Source organism: Homo sapiens, chromosome 3, assembly GCF_000001405.40.
Source record: "Homo sapiens chromosome 3, GRCh38.p14 Primary Assembly".
In the NCBI taxonomy this organism is placed as follows: domain Eukaryota; kingdom Metazoa; phylum Chordata; class Mammalia; order Primates; family Hominidae; genus Homo; species Homo sapiens.
In genome coordinates this window covers 109,641,721-109,663,966 of record NC_000003.12, presented here as the reverse complement: position 1 = coordinate 109,663,966, position 22,246 = coordinate 109,641,721, and the positions used below count along the sequence as shown (strand labels likewise).

Genomic DNA, 22,246 nt, shown 5'->3' with positions numbered 1-22,246 from the left:
AAAGTAAGATGCAAAATAGAATATGCTTTTCTAACATTTTGTATGTATAATGTACAAAAAAAGGGCTAATAGGAAATAAAATGGCAACTGTGCTTCTCTCTGAATAGTAAGAATATATAATTGCTTTTTCATACTATTATGTATTACACATATTTCTAATAACAAATGTAATATTTTAATTCAGCATACAGACGCTTATTTTTTAATTATTAATTTTGTCTGAACTTTCTAATACTCAAAATATCAACAACAGTAAGAACTACTTTTATACAAAAATATGTTGAAACTGAATTCAGAAAATTTCATTCCAAAATGTTGCTTGTGTGTCAACTGCAATGAACCAACTACTACTTTTTACATTTGTTGCTTTATTTTATTTTGTTAATAGTTTTTAATTCAAGTAGTTAGTACTCCAAGGGATTATGTTTTTTTGTTTTGTTTTTTCTTTTGGGTTATTATCATTATTAGTTTTTTTCTTCTCTGGAAACTGTGTTTTGTTCTTCCACTCAGCATATTATTAGTAATCATTAACCAAAATTAGCTACCTGATTAATTTATTTATTTAAGATCCAGTTGCCATTTATGAGATGAATGCCCGTATCACATAACAGCGACATTTTCCAAGTGACACCTATGAAAAAAAGGTCTCAGGCTGGGCATGGTGGCTCATGCTGTAATCCCAGCACTTTGAGAGGCTGAGACAAGCCAATCGCTTGAGGCTCAGGAGTTCAAGACTAGCCTAAGCAACATGGCAAAACCCCATCCCTACAAAAATACAAAAATCAGCCGGGTGTGGTGGAGCACACCTGTGCCCATATACTTGGGGGACTGAGGTGGGAAGATTGCTTGAGCCTGGGAGGATCACTTGAGCGTGGGAGGTTGAGGCTGCAGTGAGCTGTATCCCACCACTGCACTCCAGCCTGGGCAACAAAGTGAGACTCTGTCTCAAAAAAAAAAAAAAGTATCGTCATTAATAAGTTTGGAAAACACTGCTTAACATCTACCACATCCCAACTTGGAGAGTCAGAATTTATATATGGATGTGATTTGAGTGGTCCTGCTGTATTAAGAACATAAATAACTATACTTAACCCACTGTTTGCTGAATTTATTTTTTACAGAATCCTTTCTTAGAATTTATCTTTTAATAATCTCTGGAAATAGTGTTCTGAGACAGTGCTTAACAAGTTTAATCTGCAAAAAAAATTACCTGGGTATATTACTGCAATCATAATCTGACCCAGTAGGTCAAGGATGAGAGCTAAGAGTCTGCATTTCTAACAATCTGCACAGTGAAGACAGTATTGCAGGTCTGCTGATCACATTTTGAGTTTCAGTGCTAGAGAGAACATACTTTAGGAACCAAACAAAAGTCCCCCCACACACTAGTTTATCATTCATCAGATATTTATTGAACATACAGATACTGTGTGGGCATGGCATCAGACAAATACCAAATGAAAGCTTTAAAAATTAGATATATTTTTTAAAAACAGTTTTTGCTTAGAGAAATGGCTTATTTTATTTTCCCACAAAGATTAATTCATAGTCTGAACTTCCTGGTTTAATAAAAATATTGCTGAAAGGTACTTAACATTAAGTATCTGTGGTGCAGGCTAGGCCCTCGGTTCTAATAAACTCAGATGACAGCTTATTTGCATGGAGCACTTTGTTTAGCTTTTGGGAAGTTCATGAATGTCTTTTTATATTAACTGTTAGACCAAGAGTAAACTCTAGTTAGACCAAGAGTAAACTCTAAAGTCTCATAAATTGTCTTAAAAACATATCAAAGATTTTAAACATATATGTATATTTAAAATGTGTATTAAAGTACGTATTTTAAAAGATATGTGTATCTTTTTTAAAAAGAAATAATCATGGGAATTACATTGCTTAATGTAACTCTAAGGTAGTGGTCTCAACCAGGACAATTTTAAGTCTCAGGGACGTTTAACAATGTCTGGTCACATCTTTGGTTTTCACGTGGGAGGACAGGGTTGGGAGTATTTCTGAAATCTAGTGGGTAGAGGTCAGAGATGCTGCTGAACATTCTACAATACACACAACAGTCTTCCACAACAAAGAATCATCTGGTTCAAAATGTCAGTATTGCCGAGTTTGAGAAACCTTGCTCCAAAGCCAAGTACTCGTGCTATTTCTTAGGACTGCCCTTGACAAATGCAGGACATGGATTGGAAAACTTTTAAAAAGAGCATCCCAAGCCCTAGATCCTTGTACCCTGGGGTACATTGAATGCTGATTTGTAAATGAAAGGGAAGAGAGAAACTACGGATTGCTGACTTTCCTAAGAAGAAAAAGGCATTTATGCAGAATATGGAAAAGTCCAATGGCCCTCGTCACTGTCCTAGGGAGGGAGGTGGAGTAATAATGGGCCCTTATCTCATTATAGTTGGCAACTGTGCCACTTTTCATGTATCCACTTTAGATTTCTCTAAAACAGTAAAAGGCTAAGCTTGCCCGGGGGTCCTTTAGAAAAGCATAGTTTCCAATAGGGTGCCTGAAGAGTTGTGAAAAGCGGCAGACAGTCTTCACATGTGGAAGCTGTGGGACAGGGGGCGATATGCTTAACCCCCTTGTTCATATAGAGCTGAGTTACAGAATGCACAATGATGGTAACGAATTGCTTTCTGCCCAAATGCTCTTGTTATTTAACATTCACATGCAGACCATTTTCACATCCTCCAGCCCCAACATTAAGACTGCTTTAAGAATGTCAGATATTCACGAAATATAAGAAAAAAGTGGGAATAGGAATTGAGCTGGAGGTATCAGGAATATGTGGAAAGAGGGAAGTGGTCAGAAAAAATTCTTGGCTGGCATAGATTGTGAATCCCTACCCAAAGCCCAGGGAAACAAGAGTGGACATCCACGAGAATTGCTGATTCAGATTTCACCATAAATGGAGTCAATGGCCATACGAAATGTTACATAGGTCCAGGCAACTCTATATAAACTTTTCATTATGAGGAGCCCAGAAATTAAGAGTTGGGCAGGATATACACTTATAGGGGATGAACAGACGTCTTGCCTTTTTTTTTTTTTTTTTAGAAGGCAAGATGGAGTCTTGCTATGTTTCCCAGTCTGGATCCATTTTTATAAATATACTGGACAACCAAAATTACTGTGTTATAATTCAATTTTATAAACATATAAACTCACTAGAGTGACCAGAGGAGGTATGTTTATTGGGAAATTTATATTTAAAATTTTAACCTATCAATGTGTTTATAAAATTTACATAAATTGAATTGGGAAAAGAGGGGTAATACTGGGTTCTTTGATGTGTAGACTAACATATGAAAGATTTACTAATACACTAATGTGAATTTGGAAGTGAAGAACAGCTGGACATGGAGATAAATGACCAGATTGAAAATGTGCTACAATGTGCCTATAAAAATTAACACAGTTGTGTATGGAGAGAAATATTGCTACTGTGGGTTTCTTGGCATGTGGAATATGGAGGTTTTGGAGTAAAGAGCAATTGAATGTGGTGGCAGTTGGAGAGGACCGAACTCAAAATGTTGAAAGGGTTTCCATAGCTTGAACTCAGCTGAAACAGCAGAGGTGGTAATGTCGCATGGCAGGGGCACTGGAGACTGCTGGAGAGCCAGGCCATTGCAACCAGGGAAAATAAGTTGTGCTGGGCAGAACAGTAAGGGGCGAAGGAATTTCTAAGGATAATAGTAGAGGCAGAAAAATGGAGCCAGACTGAGAAAGATGGCAGGAATCAGCACGTGCACGACCATCAGAAAGGGTCCAATGTGGCGAGGAGTCACATAGCAGGGGATGGAACATGACATTAGACATTGAAAAGATTTTATGTGAAAAGAAAAATCTTACAGTGCCTACTAGGCAGTTTGGCATCGATAGTAGAAGATGTTACTATACAAGAGCAATATTTCCCAAAGCGCGCTCTCTGGCCCACCTACATCAGAATTACCTGGGTGCACGGTTAAAGCACAGATATCTCAGCCGCACAACAGGTCTGAGTCAGGAACTCCTTGCCAGGCACAGGGAACAGCTTTTTTATAAGTTTTCAGTGCAATTGAAATGCACACTCAAGAATGAGATGCACTGCACCTAATATGAAGGCCACACCCTGATCAGCATTCACAGACCAACACTGGAACTACTCAAGAACAGTGATGGACAGGAATCTGCAGCCTCGGCCTATGCAGTATTGCCCACATCGTAGGCAGTTAACACCAAGGTCATCCCCAGGAGCCTCATATGACCATACCTGACATAAATGACTTCCTACATTAATTTTTCTGCTACAATTACAATAAAATATAATGTGAAATAGAAAGTATCTCATAAAGGTTAGCATGCCATTTTAGAGCTTGTATTAATTTAGTGGGGTGACATGACTTGGTTTTCATAAGGTTTATTTTCCTCAAAAAACAAATGTCTGGAAGATAGGCTGTCCTCTAGGTTTTTTTGTTTTTTTTTAAAGAGCCTTATTTCATTTTATGTTACTTTTTTTTCTTTCCCAGGTAGACCTTAATTCCCAGCTAGACTAGATTCTTGAGGGCAAGAATATTCTAATGTTTCTCTATACTCAAATTGTTCTCAATAAATGCTTGTTTGAGAGAATTAGCAGAGTACTTAAGAAAATATGGTAGAAAAAAATGCGTGGTTAAAAAATCATATGAAATAATCAAACACTATTTTCTATTCAAACAAGAATCAAACAAGAAAATGAAAGAAAAAAGTCACTTAAATGTATAACAGGAACGACAAATGAAAATCTAGGAGAAACAAGATATAATCAGAACCTTTGTGAAGAAATACTCAAGTCTCTACTGAGAAACATAAAAATGAATAATAGAAGGATACATCTTATTATTGGTAAGACAGAGTATTACAAAGTTGTCAATGTCATCAATCACAACAAAAACTACAAATAGGTTCCCATTTCTTTTTTTATCTAAGAAACATTTATTATTATGGCAAAATATATGCAATATGAACTTACCATTTTAACCATTTTTAAGTATGCAATTCAGAGGCATTAAGTACATTCACATTGCTGTACAACCATCACCACTATCCATCTCCAGAATATTTTCATCTTGCCAAACTAAAATTCTATATCCATTAAACATAATTCTCTCTTCCCCCCAACCCCCAGACCCTGGGAATTAAGATTCTACTTTCTGTCTACAAATTTGACTACCATAAATATCTCACATAAGGAAGGTTATGCAATATTTGTCCTTTGTGACTGGCTTATTTTACTTAGCATAAATGTCTTCAACTTTCATTCATGTTGTTGCATGTCAGAATTTCCTTACTTTTTAAGGCTGAATACTATTCCATTTTATATATATGTATGTATATACATATATACCACTGCTTATATATTTATTAATCAATGAACACTTGTGTTACTTCTGCCTTTTGGTTATAGTGAATAATGCTACTATTCATATGGGTTTACAAATATGTTTTAAATTCCTTTGTGTATACACCCAGAAGTGGAGTTGCTGAATCATATGGTAACTCTATGTTTAATTTTTTGAGAAATCACCATATTGTTTTCCACAGTGGCTTCATCATTTTACATTCCCAACTGCAATGCAAAAGCATTCCAATTACTCCACATCCATGCTAACACTTCTCATTTTCTGCTTTTTCATGCTACCTACCCAGATGACTACGAAGTAGCATCTCATTGTGGTTTCCGTTTGTATTTCTCTAATGATAGTAATGCTGAGTATCTTTTCTTGTGTTCATTATCCTTTGGATAAATATCTATTCAAGTCCTTTGCTCATTTTTTATTTGAATTTCTTTAATGTTGAGTTATAGGAGTTTATATGTATTCTGGATATCAATTGTTAACAAATACATTATTTGCAAATATTTTCTCCCACTCTAAAAGTTTGCCTTTTAACTTTGTTAATCGTGTCCTTTGATGCAAACAAGCTTTTAATTTTTATGAATCCAACGTAACTATTTTTTTTCTTTCATTGCCTGTCCCACATTTTTTTAATTGACCAACTAAGTCTAAAGTTTACCTGGAAAAATGCACATGAAAGAATAACTAGCACATTTCTGAAAATGAAGAGTAATGGAATAGTCTTCCCTGATAATAAAATGTATTCTATTTTTTTTTACTAACCTGCCTTTGTAAATCTAAAAATTATATTCTAAAATAGTATAATCTTGGCTCAGAAATTGACAGGCACGCACATCAGTGAATCATAGTAGAAAGTTCTAAAATATTTTCCTTTACAGTTGGGAATTTAATATATTTCAAGTATAGCATTTCAAATCAATAATCAAAATCAAAAAATTGTGCCAGTTATTTAAGAAAAAGCTGAAATCCATTTCACATCTTTTATCAAAATAAATTTCAGATTGATCAATGATTAAAATGTAAAAATTAATTTAAATTCAAAGCTTAAAATGAAAAAAATTACAGAAGAAAAACATGGAAGGATATCTTTATAATATAATAAGGAAACAGTCTTCCTAAGCTTATAAAACCTAGAAGCTATCAATAAATCTATATTGACAATTTTGACTACATATCAATTTAAAATGGCTATACAGACTTCTGCTCTCAGCAAGCAGATTAAGTCTCTTGTTGAAAATAAAAATAAAAGCTTGACACAATATATAAAGCAATTATCTGAAGACAATGGGAATTTTTTAAATTTCAGTCAATATTTGAGGAATTACAGTCTTTGAAAGAAGGGGAACACACAAAATAATATTCATATTCCAACTTCTTCTCTTTAGGACAGTATCTGATTTGCTGTCTGTGAAAGAGTGGGAAAGAGAGCCTAATCAGAAAGCAGCAGTCAATCTTGGCTGAGGAGGTATATGCTGGAGAATGAAGCTGCCCAAACCGATGGGACCTGAGGAGTGAAGCCCTAAGAAAGCACCTCAGGAAATCAGCCCAAATTCCCACTACAAATTTCCTTTCAAACATTGGCTGATTCTTAAGTAGCATATGCACGGGATAAGACCCTCAAAACCCACTGAAAAACAGTATGCAGAAAACTAAAAGCTGAGCAGAGAAGTCGGCAGCCATGGAGACAGAGACTGGATTGTTCAAAGCCTGTTCTTCCAGGTAAGAACCAAAAAGGGCCAAACTTAGGAGTAAGGGACATATGTGAGTGCATTTGTCAGCCAACTACAACTTGCAGGCCAAATCTGGCTTGTCACTTGTTTTTGCAGGTCCCTAGAGCTAAGAATAGTTTTCATATTTTTACATGGTTTAAAATCTTTAAAGTAAAAGTACTATTACATGACATTTGAAATTTATATGAAATTTAAATGTTAGTGTCGATAAAGTTTTATTGGAATGTAGCCAAGCTCATTTAATTACATATTGTCTATCACTGCTCTTCTGCTATAACAGCAAAGTTTAATAGTTATGGCACAGAACATATGGCCTACAAACTCTGAAGTATTTATTATCTGGCCCTTTACAGGAAAGGTTTGTTGACCTCTGTCCTAGAAGTAACAGCAAAACTGCAGTAGATCAGCCCTACCAAGCTTAAAATTGACCTTTGACAGGTTCAATGTGATCTGCCAGAATAAAATTTAACCCTCATCTGAGGGATGTAACATTATCCAGAACCTCTATAATTTTTCACAGACAATGTCCAGAATCCAATATAAATTTCAAAGGTCTATTAAAACAAAAAAGAATGAAATGGCCAAATGCCAAGAAAAATAATAAAAAGAATAACAGAGGCATCTAGGCGATTTAGATATTGAAGTTATGAGATAAGAACTTTTAAAAAAATCTGTGATTAATATATCCAACAAAATAGAGGAAAATATAAATAATTTTAACATAGATCTGGATTTTTTAAAATTCAAATGAATAATCTATAATCCAAAAATACTACAACTAAAATTAAGAATTGAAAATACAGGTTTAGTAGCAGAGTGCACAGAGAAGAACAGAGGAGTAGTAATTAGAAAACAGAATTAGTGATACAAATGCAGAAAGACGAGGAAAGCTGAAAACAGAAAAAAGAGCAAAACAGGCACGGTGAAAACTTCTAATTATATATAATTTGGAGTCCCAGAAGTAGAGGAGAGAAATAATAACACAGAAGAGATATTAGAGTTCTTCAACACTGACAAACTACATATAAGTGCATTTTTCAAGAATCTCTACAACGCCACGTGCATTATGGCCGGCCTGCTGAAAATCAAATGGAAAGAGAACAACTTCAGAGAAAGAAAACACACTATTGAAACAAGAAATTTTCCCTGACCCCTTCATGGGCCTCGTGACAGAGATGCCTCGCTTACTCAGCCTGCAGCTCTTAACCCCCTGAGGGAGGAGGAGCACACAGGTGAGTGGGTGCAGGAGCCGTGATGAGTGCTTCTGGGCACCAGCAGGAGCAGAATTCCGTGCGGCCCCAAGGCAGCATCTAGGAGGATACCTATGACCCCTGGGGCCCCAGAGGGCGTGTGTTATACAGTGCTCTTTTAGCTTTGCTGTCCACGGATGGCTTAAGTGTTGAACAGCTCAGGCATCTGCACTCATGACTCTGGAGCTATTGTTCAGCATCCATGAAGATTCAGGTCGCACAAACGAATTGGAAGGTGATGAATACAGAGAAGTTTATTGCTGATGGAACTGGCTTTCAGAGGGAAAGGGAGCTGGAAAGGGTATGGAGTGGGAATGTGATCTTCCCCTGGGATGTGACCATCCCCGTGGGGCTCTTCTCTGAAGTCCCCGCCGCCAAGCCCTCCCTCTTAAGCTGCTTCTCTCCAATATCTGGCTGCTGCTTCTCTTCTCTCCTTCTCTGCCACTCTTCTGCCAGTGGAGCCTGAGGTTTTTATGGGTACAGAATGGGGGTCAGGGCAGGCCAGGGTGGTTTTGGAAAAGGCAACATTTGAGCAGGAAAATTGGGATATAAAGTCCTCACTTTGGGCCACGGTTCCAGGCTTCAGGGTGGAGCCCTCCCAGGGACCACCCTCCTCTGCCCAGTATTTCCCTGCCTTCTGTCTGTATCACTATGTGCAAAGGAGGGGAAAAATAAGTTGACTGAGGAATTTTCAATTAAAACTAAGTGATATCTTTAAAGTGCTCACCAACTTGGAATTCTGTGCCCAACTACATATGCTTCAAAAATTAAGATAAAGATGTTTTCAAATAAAATATGAGAAAATTCATCAGAAGCAGACTTGCAGTTAAAAAAAATACTAAAAGAAGTTCTTCAGGCAGAAGGAAAATGATCCCAGATGGAAGCACAAAATGGGAAGAATGAAAAACACCAGAAATTATAAATATGTGAATTAATGTGAAAGATATTAATGCTTTAAAATGGCAATAATCACTACATCTTGCATAGTTAAAAATCAAGTAGAACAAATTATATGGCAATCTTAGCACAAAAGGCAAGGAAGGTTAAAAAAAACCATTTAAACTGTTCTAAGGTTCTTTTCTTCTTCAGCAAATATTTAAAACATTTACCTAAGGTAGACTGTAATAAGTGAAAGATGTATACTGTAATTTATAGGGTAAAAACTAAATGAATAATAACAGTGCATAATTAAATGATGACTATAAAAGACAAATGGCAAAGAAAAAATTTATTATACTTCAAGTTCTGGGATACATTTGCAGAATGTGCAGGTTTCTTACATAGGTATACCCATGCCATCGTGGTTTGCTGCACCCATCAACCCATCATCTACATTAGGTATTTCTCCTAATGCTATCTGTCGCCCAGACCTCCAGCCCCCAACAGGCCCCGGTGTGTGATGTTCCCCTCCCTGTGTCTATGTGTTCTCTCATTGTTCAACTCCCACTTATGAGTGAGAAAACATGGTGTTTGGTTTTTCTTTTCCTGTGTTAGTTTGCTGAGAATGATGGTTTCCAGCTTCATCCATGTCCCTGCAAAGGACATGAACTCATTCTTTTTTATGGCTGCATAGTATTCCATGGTGTATATGTGTCACATTTTCTTTATCTAGTCTATCATTGATGGGCATTTGGGTTGGTTCCAAGTCTTTGCTATTGAAAACAGTGCTGCAATAAACATATATGTGCATGTGTCTTTAAAGTAGAATGATTAATAATCCTTTGGGTATATACCCAGTAATGGGATTGCTGGGTCAAATGCTAGCTCTGTTTTAAGTTCTTTGAGAAATCTCCAAACTGTTTTCCAGAGTGGCTGAACTAATTTACATTCCCGCCAACAGTGTAAAAGCTATTTCTCCACTTCCTCGCTAGCATCTGTTGTTTCCTGACTTCTTTTTTTTTTTTTTTTTTTGAGACGGTGTCTTGTTCTGTCGCCCAGGCTGGAGGGCAGTGGCATGATCTCAGCTCACTGCAAGCTCCACCTCCCAGGTTCACACCATTCTCCTGCCTCAACCTCCCTCCTGAGTAGCTGGGACTATAGGCACCTACCACCACACCTGGCTAATTTTTTGAATTTTTAGTAGAGACAAGGTTTCACTGTGTTAGCCAGGATAGTCTCGATCTCCTGACCTCGTGATCTGCCTGCCTCGGCCTCCCAAAGTGCTGGGATTACAGGCGTGAGCCACCGCGCCTGGCCTGTTTCCTGACTTTTTAATGATCGCCATTCTAACTGGCTTGAGATGGCATCTCATTGTGGTTTTGATTTGCATTTCTCTAATGACCAGTGATGATGAACTTTTTTTCATGTTTGTTGGCTGCATAAACGTCTTCTTTTGAGAAGTGCCTGTTTATATCCTTTGCCCAGTTTTTGATGGGGTCGTTTGTTGCTTTCTTGTAAATTTCTTTAAGTTCCTTGTAGATTCTGGATATTAGCCATTTGTCAGATGGATAGATTGCAAAAATTTTCTCCCATTCTGTAGGTTGCCTGTTCACTCTGATGATAGTTTCTTTTGCTGTGCAGAAGCTCTTTAGTTTAATTAGATCCCATTTGTCAATTTTGGCTTTTGTTGCCATTGCTTCTGGTGTTTAGTCATAAAGTCTTTGCCCATGCCTGTGTCCTGAATGGTATTGCCTAGGTTTTCTTCCAGGGTTTTTATGGTTTTAGGCTTTAAGTCTTTAATCCATCTTGAGTTAATTTTTGTATAAGGTGTAAGGAAGGGGTCCAGTTTTAGTTTTCTGCATATGGCTAGCCAGTTTTCCCAACACCATCTATTAAATAGGGAATATTTTCCCCATTTCTTGTTTTTGTAAGGTTTGTCAAAGATCAGGTAATTGTAGATGTGTGGTGGTATTTTTCTGAGGCCTCTGTTCTGTTCCATTAGTCTATATACCTGTTTTGGGACCAGTACCATGCTGTTTTGGTTACTGTAGCCTTGTAGTATAGTTTAAAGTCAGGTATTGTGATGCCTCCAGCTTTGTTCTTTTTGCTTAGGACTGTCTTGGCTATACGAGATCTTTTTTGGTTCCACATGAACTTTAAAGTAGTTTCTTCTAATTCTGTGAAGAAAGTCAGTGGTAGCTTGATGGGGATAGCAATAAATCTATAAATTACTTTGGGAAGTATGGCCATTTTCATGATATTGATTCTTCCTATCCATGAGCGTAGAATGTTTTTTCCATTTTCCATTTATTTGTGTCCTCTCATATTTCCTTGAGCAGTGGTTTGTAGTTCTTCTTGAAGAGGTCCTTCACATCCCTTGTAAGTTGTATTACTAGGTATTTTATTCTCTTTGTAGCCATTATAAATGGGAGTTCACTCATGATTTGGCTCTCCGTTTGTCTGTTATTGGTGTATAGGAATGCTTGTGATTTTTGCACATTAATTTTGTATCCCAAGACTTTGCTGAAGTTGCTTATCAGCTTAAGGAGATTTTGGGATGAGACAATGGGGTTTTCCAAATATATAACCATGCCATTTGCAAACAGAGACAATTTGACTTCCTCTCTTCCTATCCGAGTACACTTTGTTGCTTTCTCTTGCCTGATTGCCCTGGCCAGAACTTCCAATACTATGTTGAATAGGAGTGGTGAGAAATGGCATCCTTGTCTTGTGCCAGTTTTCAAAGGGAATGCTTCCAGCTTTTGCCCATTCAGTATGACATTGGCTGTGGGTTTGTCATAAATAGCTCTTATTATTTTGAGATACGTTCCATCAATACCTAGTTTATTGAGAGTTTTTAGCATGAAGGGGTGTTGAATTTGATTGAAGGCCTTTTCTGCATCTACTGAGATAATCATGTGGTTTTTATCATTGGTTCTGTTTATGTGATGGATTACATTTATTGATTTGCGCATGTAGAACCAGCCTTGTATCCCAGAAATGAAGCCAACTTGATCGTGATGGATAAGCTTTTTGATGTGCTGCTGGATTCGGTTTGCCTGTATTTTATTGAAGATTTTTGCATCGATGTTCATCAGGGATATTAGCCTGAAATTTTCTTTTTTTGTTGTGTCTCTGCCAGGTTTTGCTATCAGGATGATGCTGGCCTCATAAAATGAGTTAGAGAGGAGTCCTTTTTCTATTGTTTGGAATAGTTTCAGAAGGAATAGTACCAGCTCCTCTTTGTACATCTGGTAGAATTCGGCTGTGAATCTGTCTGGTCCTGGGCGTTTTTTGGTTGTTGGGCTGTTAAATACTGCCTCAATTTCAGAACTTGTTATTGGTCTATTCAGGGGTTTGACTTCTTCCTGGTTTAGTCTTGGGAGGGTGTATGTGTCCAGGAATTTAGCCATTTCTTCTAGATTTTCTAGTTTATTTGCGTAGAGGTGTTTATAGTATTCTCTGAAGGTAGTCTGTATTTCTGTGGGATCAGTGGCGATCTGCCCTTTATCATTTTTTTGTGTGTGTCTATTTGATTCTTCTCTCTTTTCTTCTTTATTAGTCTGGCTAGCAGTCTATCTACTTTGTTAATCTTTTCAAAAAAAACAGCTTCCGGATTCACTGATTTTTTTGAAGGGTTTTTCATGTCTCTATCTCCTTCAGTTCTGCTCTGATCTTAGCTACTTCTTGCCTTCTGCTAGCTTTTGAATTTCTTTGCTCCTGCTTCTCTAGTTCTTTTAATTGTGATGTTACGGTGTCAATTTTAGATCATTTCTGCATTCTCCTGTGGGCACTTAGTGCTCTAAATTTCTCTCTAAATACTGTTTTAGCTGTGTCCCTGAGATTCAGGTACTTTGTTTCTTTGTTCTCATCAGTTTCAAAAAAACTTATTTATTTCTGCCTTAATTTTGTTATTTACCCAGTAATCATTCAGGAGCAGGTTGTTCAGTTTCCAAGTACTTTTGTGGTTCTCAGTGAGTTTCTTAATCCTGAAATCTAATTTGATTGCCCCACAGTCTGAGAGACTGTTTGTTATGATTCTTATTCTTTTGCATTTGGTGAGGAGTGTTTTACTTCCAATTATGTGGTCAATTTTAGAATAAGTGCAATGTGGTGCTGAGAAGAATGTATATTCTGTTGATTTGGGGTGAAGAGTTCTGTAGATGTCTCTTAGGTCCGCTTGGTCTGGAGCTGAGTTCAAGTCCTGAATATCCTTGTTAATTTTCTGTCTTGTTGATCTGTCTAATATTGACAGTGGGGTGTAAAAGTCTCCCACTGTTATTGTGTGGGAGTCTAAGTCTCTTTGTAGGTATTTCAGGACTTGCTTTATGAATCTGGGTGCTCCTGTATTGGGTGCATATATATTTAGGACTGTTAGCTCTTCTTGTTGAATTGATCCCTTTACATTGTGTAATGCCCTTCTTTGTCTCTTTTGATCTTTGTTGGTTTCAAGTCTGCTTTATCAGAGACTAGGATTGCAATCCCTGCTTTTTTTTTTTCTTTCCATTTGCTTCATAAATTTTCCTCCATCCCTTTATTTTCAGCCTATGTGTGTCTTTGTATGTGAGATGGGTCTCCTGAATACGGCACACTGATGGGTCTTGACTCTTTATCCAATTTGCCAGTCTGTGTCTTTTAACTGGGGCATTTAGCTCATTTACATTTAAGGTTAATACTGTTTTGTGTGAATCTGATCCTTTCATTATGATGTTAGCTGGTTATTTTGCCCGTTAGTTGATGCAGTTTCTTCATAGTGTCTATGGTCTTTACAATTTGGTTTGTTTTTGCACTGGCTGGTAGCAGTTTTTCCTTTCCATAATTAGTCCTTCCTTCAGGAGCTCTTGTCAGGCAGGCCTGGTGGTGACAAAATCTCTCAGCATTTGCTTGTCTGTAGAGGATTTTATTTCTCCTTCACTTATGAAGCTTCGTTTGGCTGGATATGAAATTCTGGGTTGAAAATACTTTTCTTTAAGAATGTTGAATATTGGCCCCCACTCTCTTCTGGCTTGTAGAGTTTCTGCCGAGAGATCCGCTGTTAGTCTGATGGGCTTCCCTTTGTGGGTAACCTGACCTTTCTCTCTGGCTGCCCTGAACACTTTTTCCTTCATTTCAACCTTGGTGAATCTGACAATTACGTGTCTTGGGGTTGCTCTTCTCAAGGAGTAGTTTTGATGTGTTCTCTGTATTTCCTGAATTTGAGTGTTGGCCTGCCTTGCTAGGTTGACGAAGTTCTCCTGGGTAATATCCTGCAGAGTGTTTTCCAACTTGGTTCCATTCTCCCCATCACTTTCAGGTACACCAATCAAATGTAGGTTTGGTCTTTTCACATAGTCCCATATGTCTTGGAGGCTTTGTTCATTCCTTTTCATTTATTTTTTCTCTAATCTTGTCTTCACACTTTATTTCATTGAGTTGATCTTCAATCTCTGATAGCCTTTCTTCTGCTTGATCGATTCAGCTGTTGATACTTGTATATGCTTCACGAAGTTCTCATGCTATGTTTTTCAGCTCCATCAGGTCATTTATGTTCTTCTCTAAACTGGTTATTCTAGTTAGCAATTCATCTAACCTTTTTTCAAGGTTCTTAGCTTCCTTACATTGGGTTAGAACATGCTCCTTTAGCTCAGAAGAGTTTGTTATTACCTACCTTCTGAAGGTAGGTAATATCAAAATTCATCAAACTCCTTCTCCATCCAGTTTTGTTCCCTTCCTGCGAGGAGTGGTGATCTTTTGGAGGAGAAGAGGCATTCTAGTTTTTGGAATTTTCAGCCTTTTTGCACTGGTTTTTCCTCATTTTTGTGGATTCATCTTCGTTAGGTCTTTGATGTTGGTGATCTTCAGATGGGGTTTTTGTGTGGATGTCCTTTTTGTTGATGTTGATGCTATTCCTTTCTGTTTGTTAGTTTTCCTTCTAACAGTCAGGCCTCTCTGCTGCAGGTCTGCTGGAGTTTGCTGGAGGTCCATTCCAGGCCCTGTTCTGGTATCACCAGCAGAGACTGCAGAACAGCAAAGATTGCTCCCTGTTCCTACCTCTGGAAGCTTCGTCCCAAAGGGGCACCCCCAAGATGCCAGCCAGAGCTCTCCTGTATGAGATGTCTGTTGACCCCTGCTAGGAGGTATCTCCCAGTCAGGAGGCACGGGGGCCAGAGGCCCACGTGAGGGGGCAGTCTGTCCCTTAGCAGAGCTCTGTGGTGGGAGATCCACTGCTCTCTTTATAGCTGGCGGGAAGGAACGTTCAAGTCTGCTGAAGCTGTGCCCACATCTGCCCCTTCCCCCAGGTGCTCTGTCCCAGGGTGATGAGAGTTTTATATATAAGCCCCTGACTGGGGCTTCTGCCTTTCTTTCAGAGATGCCCTAGAGAGAGAAGGAATCTAGAGAGGCAATCTGGCTACAGCGGCTTTCTCAAGCTGCAGTGCGCTCCGTCCAGTTTGAAATTCCAGGCAGCTTTGTTTACACTGTGATGGGAAAACCGCCTACTCAAGCCTCAGTAATGATGGATGTCCCTCCCCCTACCAAGTTCAAGTGTCCCAGGTCAACTTCAGACTACTGTGCTGGCAGCGAGAATTTCAAGCCAGTGGATCTTACCTTGCTGGGCGCCATGGGGGTGGGATCAACTGAGCTAGACCACTTGGCTCCCTGGTTTCAGCCCCCTTTCCAGGGAGTGAATGGTTCTGTCTCTCTGGCATTCCAGGCACCACTAGGGTATGAAAAAAAAAAAAAAAAAAAAAAACTCTGCAGCTAGCTAGGTGTCTGCCCAAACAGCCGTGCAGTTTTGTGCTTGAAACCCAGGGACCTGGTGGTGTAGTCACCCGAGGGACTCTCCTGGTCTGCAGGTTGTGAAGACCATGAAAAGCATAGCATCTGGGCCAGAATACACGTTCCTCATGGCACAGTCCCTCCCGGCTTCCCTTGGCTAGGGCAGGGAGTTCCCCGACCCCTTGTACTTCCTTGGTGAGGTGATGCCCCACCCTGCTTCAGCTTGCTCTCCATGGGCTGCACCCACTGTCTAACTAGTCCCAGTGAGATGAGCCGGGTACCTCAGTTGGAAATGCAGAAATCACCCACCTTCTGCGTTGATCTCACTGGGAGCTGCAGGCTGGAGCTGTTCCTATTGGGCCATCTTGCCAGCCACTCAGCAAAAAATTTTTTAAGCTTGTCATCAAAACCTAAAGAAAGAACAGAAAAAGAAAAGCACATGGGACATGTAAGAAATAAATAAGATGATGGATAAAACCAACTATGCATTGAAATTGCATTAAATATGTAGAAAATAATCCAATGTAAAGGCAATGACAAACTGGATTTTAAAAAGCAATATTTTAAAAGGTGCATTTTAAACACAAGGTCACAGAATGGTTGAATGTAGCGAAAAACCACCAAATGTTTAGAAACTTAACAACAAACATAAATCCCTTGTGGTCAAACAAGAAATGACAATGAAATTTAGAAAGTATTTCAAACTGATTGGTCATGGAAATTCAATTTTTTTTTTTTTTTTTTTTTTGAGATGCAGTCTCACTCTGTCACCCAGGCTGGAGTGCAGTGGCACCATCTCGGCTCACTGCAAGCTCCACCTCCCGGGTTCACGCCACTCTCCTGCCTCAGCCTCCTGAGTAGCTGGGACTACAGGCGCCTGCCATCACGCCTGGCTAATTTTTTGTATTTTTAGTAGAGGCAGGGTTTTACCGTGTTAGCCAGGATGGTCTCGATCTCCTGACCTCGTGATCTACCGGCCTCGGCCTCCCAAAGTGCTTTTTTTTTTTTTTTTGAGACAGAGTCTCGCTGTGTCACCCAGGCTGGAGTGCAGTAGCATAATCTTGGTTCACTGCAACCTCTGCCTCCTGGATTCAAGTGATTCTCCTGCCTCAGCCACCTGAGGAGCTGGGATTACAGGTGCTCACCACCACGCCCAGCTAACTTTTGTATTTTTAGTAGAGACAGGGTTTCACCATGTTGGCCAGGCTGATCTAGAACTCCTGACCTCAGGTGATCCACCCACCTTGGCCTCCCAAAGTGCTGGGATTACAGGTGTGAGCGACCATACCTGGCCAAAAATTCAACATTTTAAAACTTGTGAGATGGAACTAAAACAATACTTAGAATGAAATCTAAAAGCTAAATGAATATAATGGAAAGCCATTATCTTAATAGAAAAAAAACCCAGCAAATTAAGAAGCAGAAAATAATAAAAGGCAGAAATAAATACAAGAAAGATAAAGAAATTAAAAGTTGAATAAATCTGAAAAACATATACTGAAAGAAGGAGCATGCTGTATAATTCCGCTTATATGGAGTCCAAGATCAGTTAAAACTAATTTATGGTGATAGGGTTTGATATAGTGGTTATTTTGGGAAGAATAGTGCTTGGGAGGAGAATGTGAGAACCCTCTCAGATACTAGGAATGTTTTATATATTGATTTAAACGTTTGTACACTTACGATGTGTCCCCTTTACTGGATATGTCTTAACCTCAACTTTAAAAAGAAATCTATGTAGCTGAAAATATCATAAACAAAATTAAATACATATTATAAGGAGCTAATTTTGAATACATAAAATCATAACAGCACTCTCTCTGTCTCCAGTACTACTCTAGTGCTTTATATACATAAACTCACTTAATCCTCAATATAATCCTATAAGTACCACTACTATCCCCATTTAATGAGTAAAGAAACTGAGGCATAAATAACCTAAATATAATTTGTTTGTGGTCGCACAGTTAGAAAGTGCCAGGACCAGAATTCAAATTCAGGCAGTCTGTAGAGTACTTACATTTAATTACACCAAAAGCAAAAAGACCAACAGTCCATTAGAGAAATGGTCAATAGACATGAACAGAAAACAGAAAAATAATGTATAAAACTATGTTACTCTTCATTCACTAGAAATGACATTTTTCAAAATTTTAAATGTGGATGCTCTTTGACCAGCACCCTACTTCTCAAAAATAATATATGCACAAATATGGAAAGTTGTATATCCAAGGATGTTTGTGAAAAGAAAATAAAAGAAGACAACTTCAATTTGTCTCACATTCTATACCCTAGAAACAATTCACCAAGTTACACTCATATTCAAGATGAGGGGAATAAGATTATACCTTTTCATGGGAGTAATGTACAAGAATTTGTGGATATGTTTAAAACCACCCAAAAGGATGTGATGCAACCATTGTGTGAATAAAGCAATGAAGTCAATCTTTATGTACTGATAAGAAATGATGTCTGAGTTTTAAAAGTTTTAAAGAAAATTGTTAAGAATTGTTATAATGAGATCCCTTTAGTGAAAAAAAAAATATAAAAGTGTGTATATGCACATATCTATATTTATCCTTATATATTTGTATATGCATAGAAAATATGGAGAGTATACCGATAACTACAGGAGAGACCTTTTATTTTACATTCTTCTAAAGAATTTGAATTACCTACAATTAGAATGTGGTAATTTTATCACTTAAAAATTGATTTTACAATTGAGAATAAATATTTTGGGCTAGATGTAAAAGAGCTTCCATCTTTGAACTAGATCTCAGTAAATAAGATTATAACTGAATAGTATTGAATTTTAAAAAAGGTACATTTAGGTGCAGCTCTTGGCATACTTTTTTTTGCAGCTCTACGTTGAGCAAATTGCTTTCTTTCAATTAATTGTCCTCATTGGTAAAATATGGGGAACTGGGCTAGAGGGTGACTAAGATCCCTTGCAGTTTTTTACTCTATAAATCATAAGCCAGAGTAGCTAGAAAGATCAAAACCCAGGGCAAAGGCTAAAGAAGCTGTACTGAAGATACATTCTAAATATGTCAGTATCCTGTGTTCTCTAGTGAAATGTCAACTCCTGAATAGTGTAGCCCGGCCTTAGATATTGTAGCAATAATATGAAAAGCAGACTTCTCAAGACAGCAGCCCTCAATTCCCACTTAATAGTAAATAACGTTTTTCTTTTGCTTCAATGGCAGATATAAAGATTTTCAATTTCTTTAAATCTCAAGTTCTTTCAATAAATGCTCTTATCATTTTCCCATTTCAAATATCTTTTCTCATTTCTCGCTCTTTGAAACACAACTCATTTTTTTTAAAAAAAAGAATTCATCGGCATAAAATAATCCAAAAAAAGCAAATCACAAGAATGCATATTCACTTCATATTACAGCTTTCTCCAACCTGCTGATGCTAATATTGCTGACTCAATAAACATTTTGCATGTTGTATAGAATATATTTCACAACCTTAAAAATCTAGATGTAAAGTTATCATCCCAAATGAAGTGTGGTTTTTTTCTCTTTCTTTCTGGTGTCAAAGTAGGTAGTTCTCATTTCAAATGAGCTGTGTTCCAGAATTTAATTTTTAAATTGGCTTTATACTTCTCTTTCCCACAGAAAGAGTATTAAAAATACTGCATGTGTTCTCAACCTAAACCACAAATAACTTGTTCAATTAATAGTGTGCCTACATCAGAGTATTTTTGAGGGGTAACGGAACATAACAAAGTGAATTCTTTAGAGTCAGAACCAGATTGGAATCCTGGCTCTGCCACTTCCCAGTTAAGCAAATCATTTAAAGTCAGTGATCTTCAGTTTCCTCCAGTGAAAAATAGAAATCATAGCATTTATTTCCCAAAGGTGTCTCAAGAATTATCTGAGATAATGTAAGTGGTCATTTCTTCCTTCCTGTCAACCCCACTAGCCTCCTATTTATCCTAGGTTTTGCTGCCTTACCTAGTATTTTCAAACTAGAGAAGTTTTTTTGGTGTTTGCTCTATAGCACAATTATAGTATTAATTAAGCTATAAAAATGGGCTTGCCTAATTTTAATCATAGCCCCAAGCATCACCTGAAACATGAATATAGCTTCAACTCTGGAGAAGCAGGAGAACAGAGCCGCAAAGCTCCTGCCATGACCTTTGGTGGCGATGACTCATATCACAGTGGCCATCCATACTCATCAATGACTAATACCACAGGCTCTGCAGTCAGAGATCAAGTTCAAAATCCTAGATCTACCACTTACCAGATATGCAAACTGCAACCATATATTTAACCTCTTTGTTCCTCCATTTTCTCATCTGTAAAGTGGAGATAATAATAGAACCTGTCACCTAAGAGTTTTCTTAAAGACTAAATGAAACAATTCATGAAAAATGCTTATTAGAGTGTCTTTCTGGTAATATTTTTCTATAACTTAAGCTTATTAATTATAGTTTTAATGCTTTTTAACTAAAAATTTAAATAAAAAAGAAAGCATGTATATACTGCTAAATTCAGTTGGGAAAATATTGCAAGTTAATTTAATTTTTAAAAATTTTTTAAGGATGCTCCCATACTTCTAAATTTAGGATTTGAGGTTTCATGCATTCTTAGTGCACAATGATAAATCAGTGTAAAAGGATAAATCAATTCACAAATCAGGTGTGAAAATTATAATTGCATTTAGTTTTCTATAACAATTTAGTTTTTTATATAGTCCCCTTTCAGCCAAGATGACAGAAATTTGATCTCTGTAGTGTGAGCTTTCCTAGGAATAGTGTTCAATTTATAGAGACTTTGAACAGTCCTAAGTTGTAGGGCTAAGGCATCTAGTACTTGATGCCATCTGTTCACACAGGTGCCTGCCTGCTGAGACATCTCATCGGGTCCTCAGTCATCACTCACAGAGATTGTCCATGAACATTTCCTTATCCATGTCAACTGGCTTCCTTATGGCAGGAGACTCTGCTACTTCCATGCCTCCTTTGCATTTCTTTGCTCCTTTCATGCTATGTTGGGGCTTAGAAATTTCTCTATGGCTATTGAAAACACCATGCAGTCTCCTCTCTCCAGTTCCTGAGGGTTTGGCCAGGAAGCAGAAAGCAATCTTTCTCGCTGGGACCTATTATCATCTATATTCACTTCACTTCTCCTCCATCTCTCCCCTAACATATGATAAATCTTTGAAAGCAATGGCATTGGGGTTTCTTCAAGTGACAATGAAAGGAATGAGGAGAGTATTTGTGTGTGGTGAGGAGGTAAAGAAGAGAATGGTGGAAGAGAATGGCAACAAACATTGCACTATTTGGATCATTTTTAAGCTGTGTCTACAAATAAGAAGCTGCTTTTTCTTACTTTTTTATTCCATTCCTTTATTTTCCCTTTCCGAACTCTACTTTTTTTTTTTTTTTGAGACAGGGTCTCACTTTGTCACCCAGGCTGGAGTGCAGTGGCACAATCTCAGCTCACTGCAGCCTTAACCTCTCAGACTCAAATCATTCTCTCACCTCAGCCCCCCAAGTAGCTGGGACTACAGGTGTGGGCCACCAAACCTGGCTAGTTTTTGTATTTTTACTAGAGATGGGGTTTCACCATGTTGCCCAGGCTGGTAATTCTACTTTTTACTGGGTGTGCTAAATCATTGTTTGTTAGCATTACTCAGAGGCCTTTTTGAGACTGCCTTGCTTAGATTTAATTTATTTGTATCCTAACTTGTTCCAGAGTTTCTTAGTGACATTATTCATACTGACACCCTTATCATGTTATCAATCTCTGCCTTCCTTCTCTTAATCATCCTAGGTGCTTTTTCTCTGCACTCTCATCTTTCCTGATTGGGAAACTCTCTAGGTCCATGTATATTATGTCTCTATTTTTACTGGCATTTTGAGCTAGTTTTTAGTTCGTGAAGTTCTGTTATTTTCCACATCAATTTGACTCACATTTACAGTGTTGCGAGAAACTATATCAAATGTTTTCTCTCATTTTGTCAGTCAAAGGAATCTTATCACATTTCCCTGAAAGACCAAGGACAATTTGAAGATATTTCTTATTTTTTGCATTATTTTTCTATGGTAGTTTTATACTGTGTACTATTGAATTTCAGTTTGAATGTCTTGGGGCCTCATCTTTTGAAACTCTTTGGAAATACGGACATTTGGTTATCTCATTCCTAGCCACAGGAGACATTTGAAAAAATAAAGCTCTAAATCTAAATAACAGAGCTATTTTCACTTCTAATAAAATAACAT

General features: G+C 37.8%; 1 long non-coding RNA gene across 2 annotated transcripts in view; it reads right to left on the bottom strand.

Annotated features, from left to right (window-relative positions):
• LOC124906267 (uncharacterized) overlaps positions 1 to 15,943 on the bottom strand; it is a 188,134-nt gene extending 172,191 nt beyond the window's left edge. For both annotated transcript variants that reach the window (XR_007096002.1, XR_007096001.1), the window contains exon 1: positions 15,832 to 15,943. This is a non-coding gene — a long non-coding RNA (uncharacterized LOC124906267). The remainder of the gene's footprint in view (positions 1 to 15,831) is intronic.
• Between the last annotated feature and the right edge of the window lie 6,303 nt (positions 15,944 to 22,246).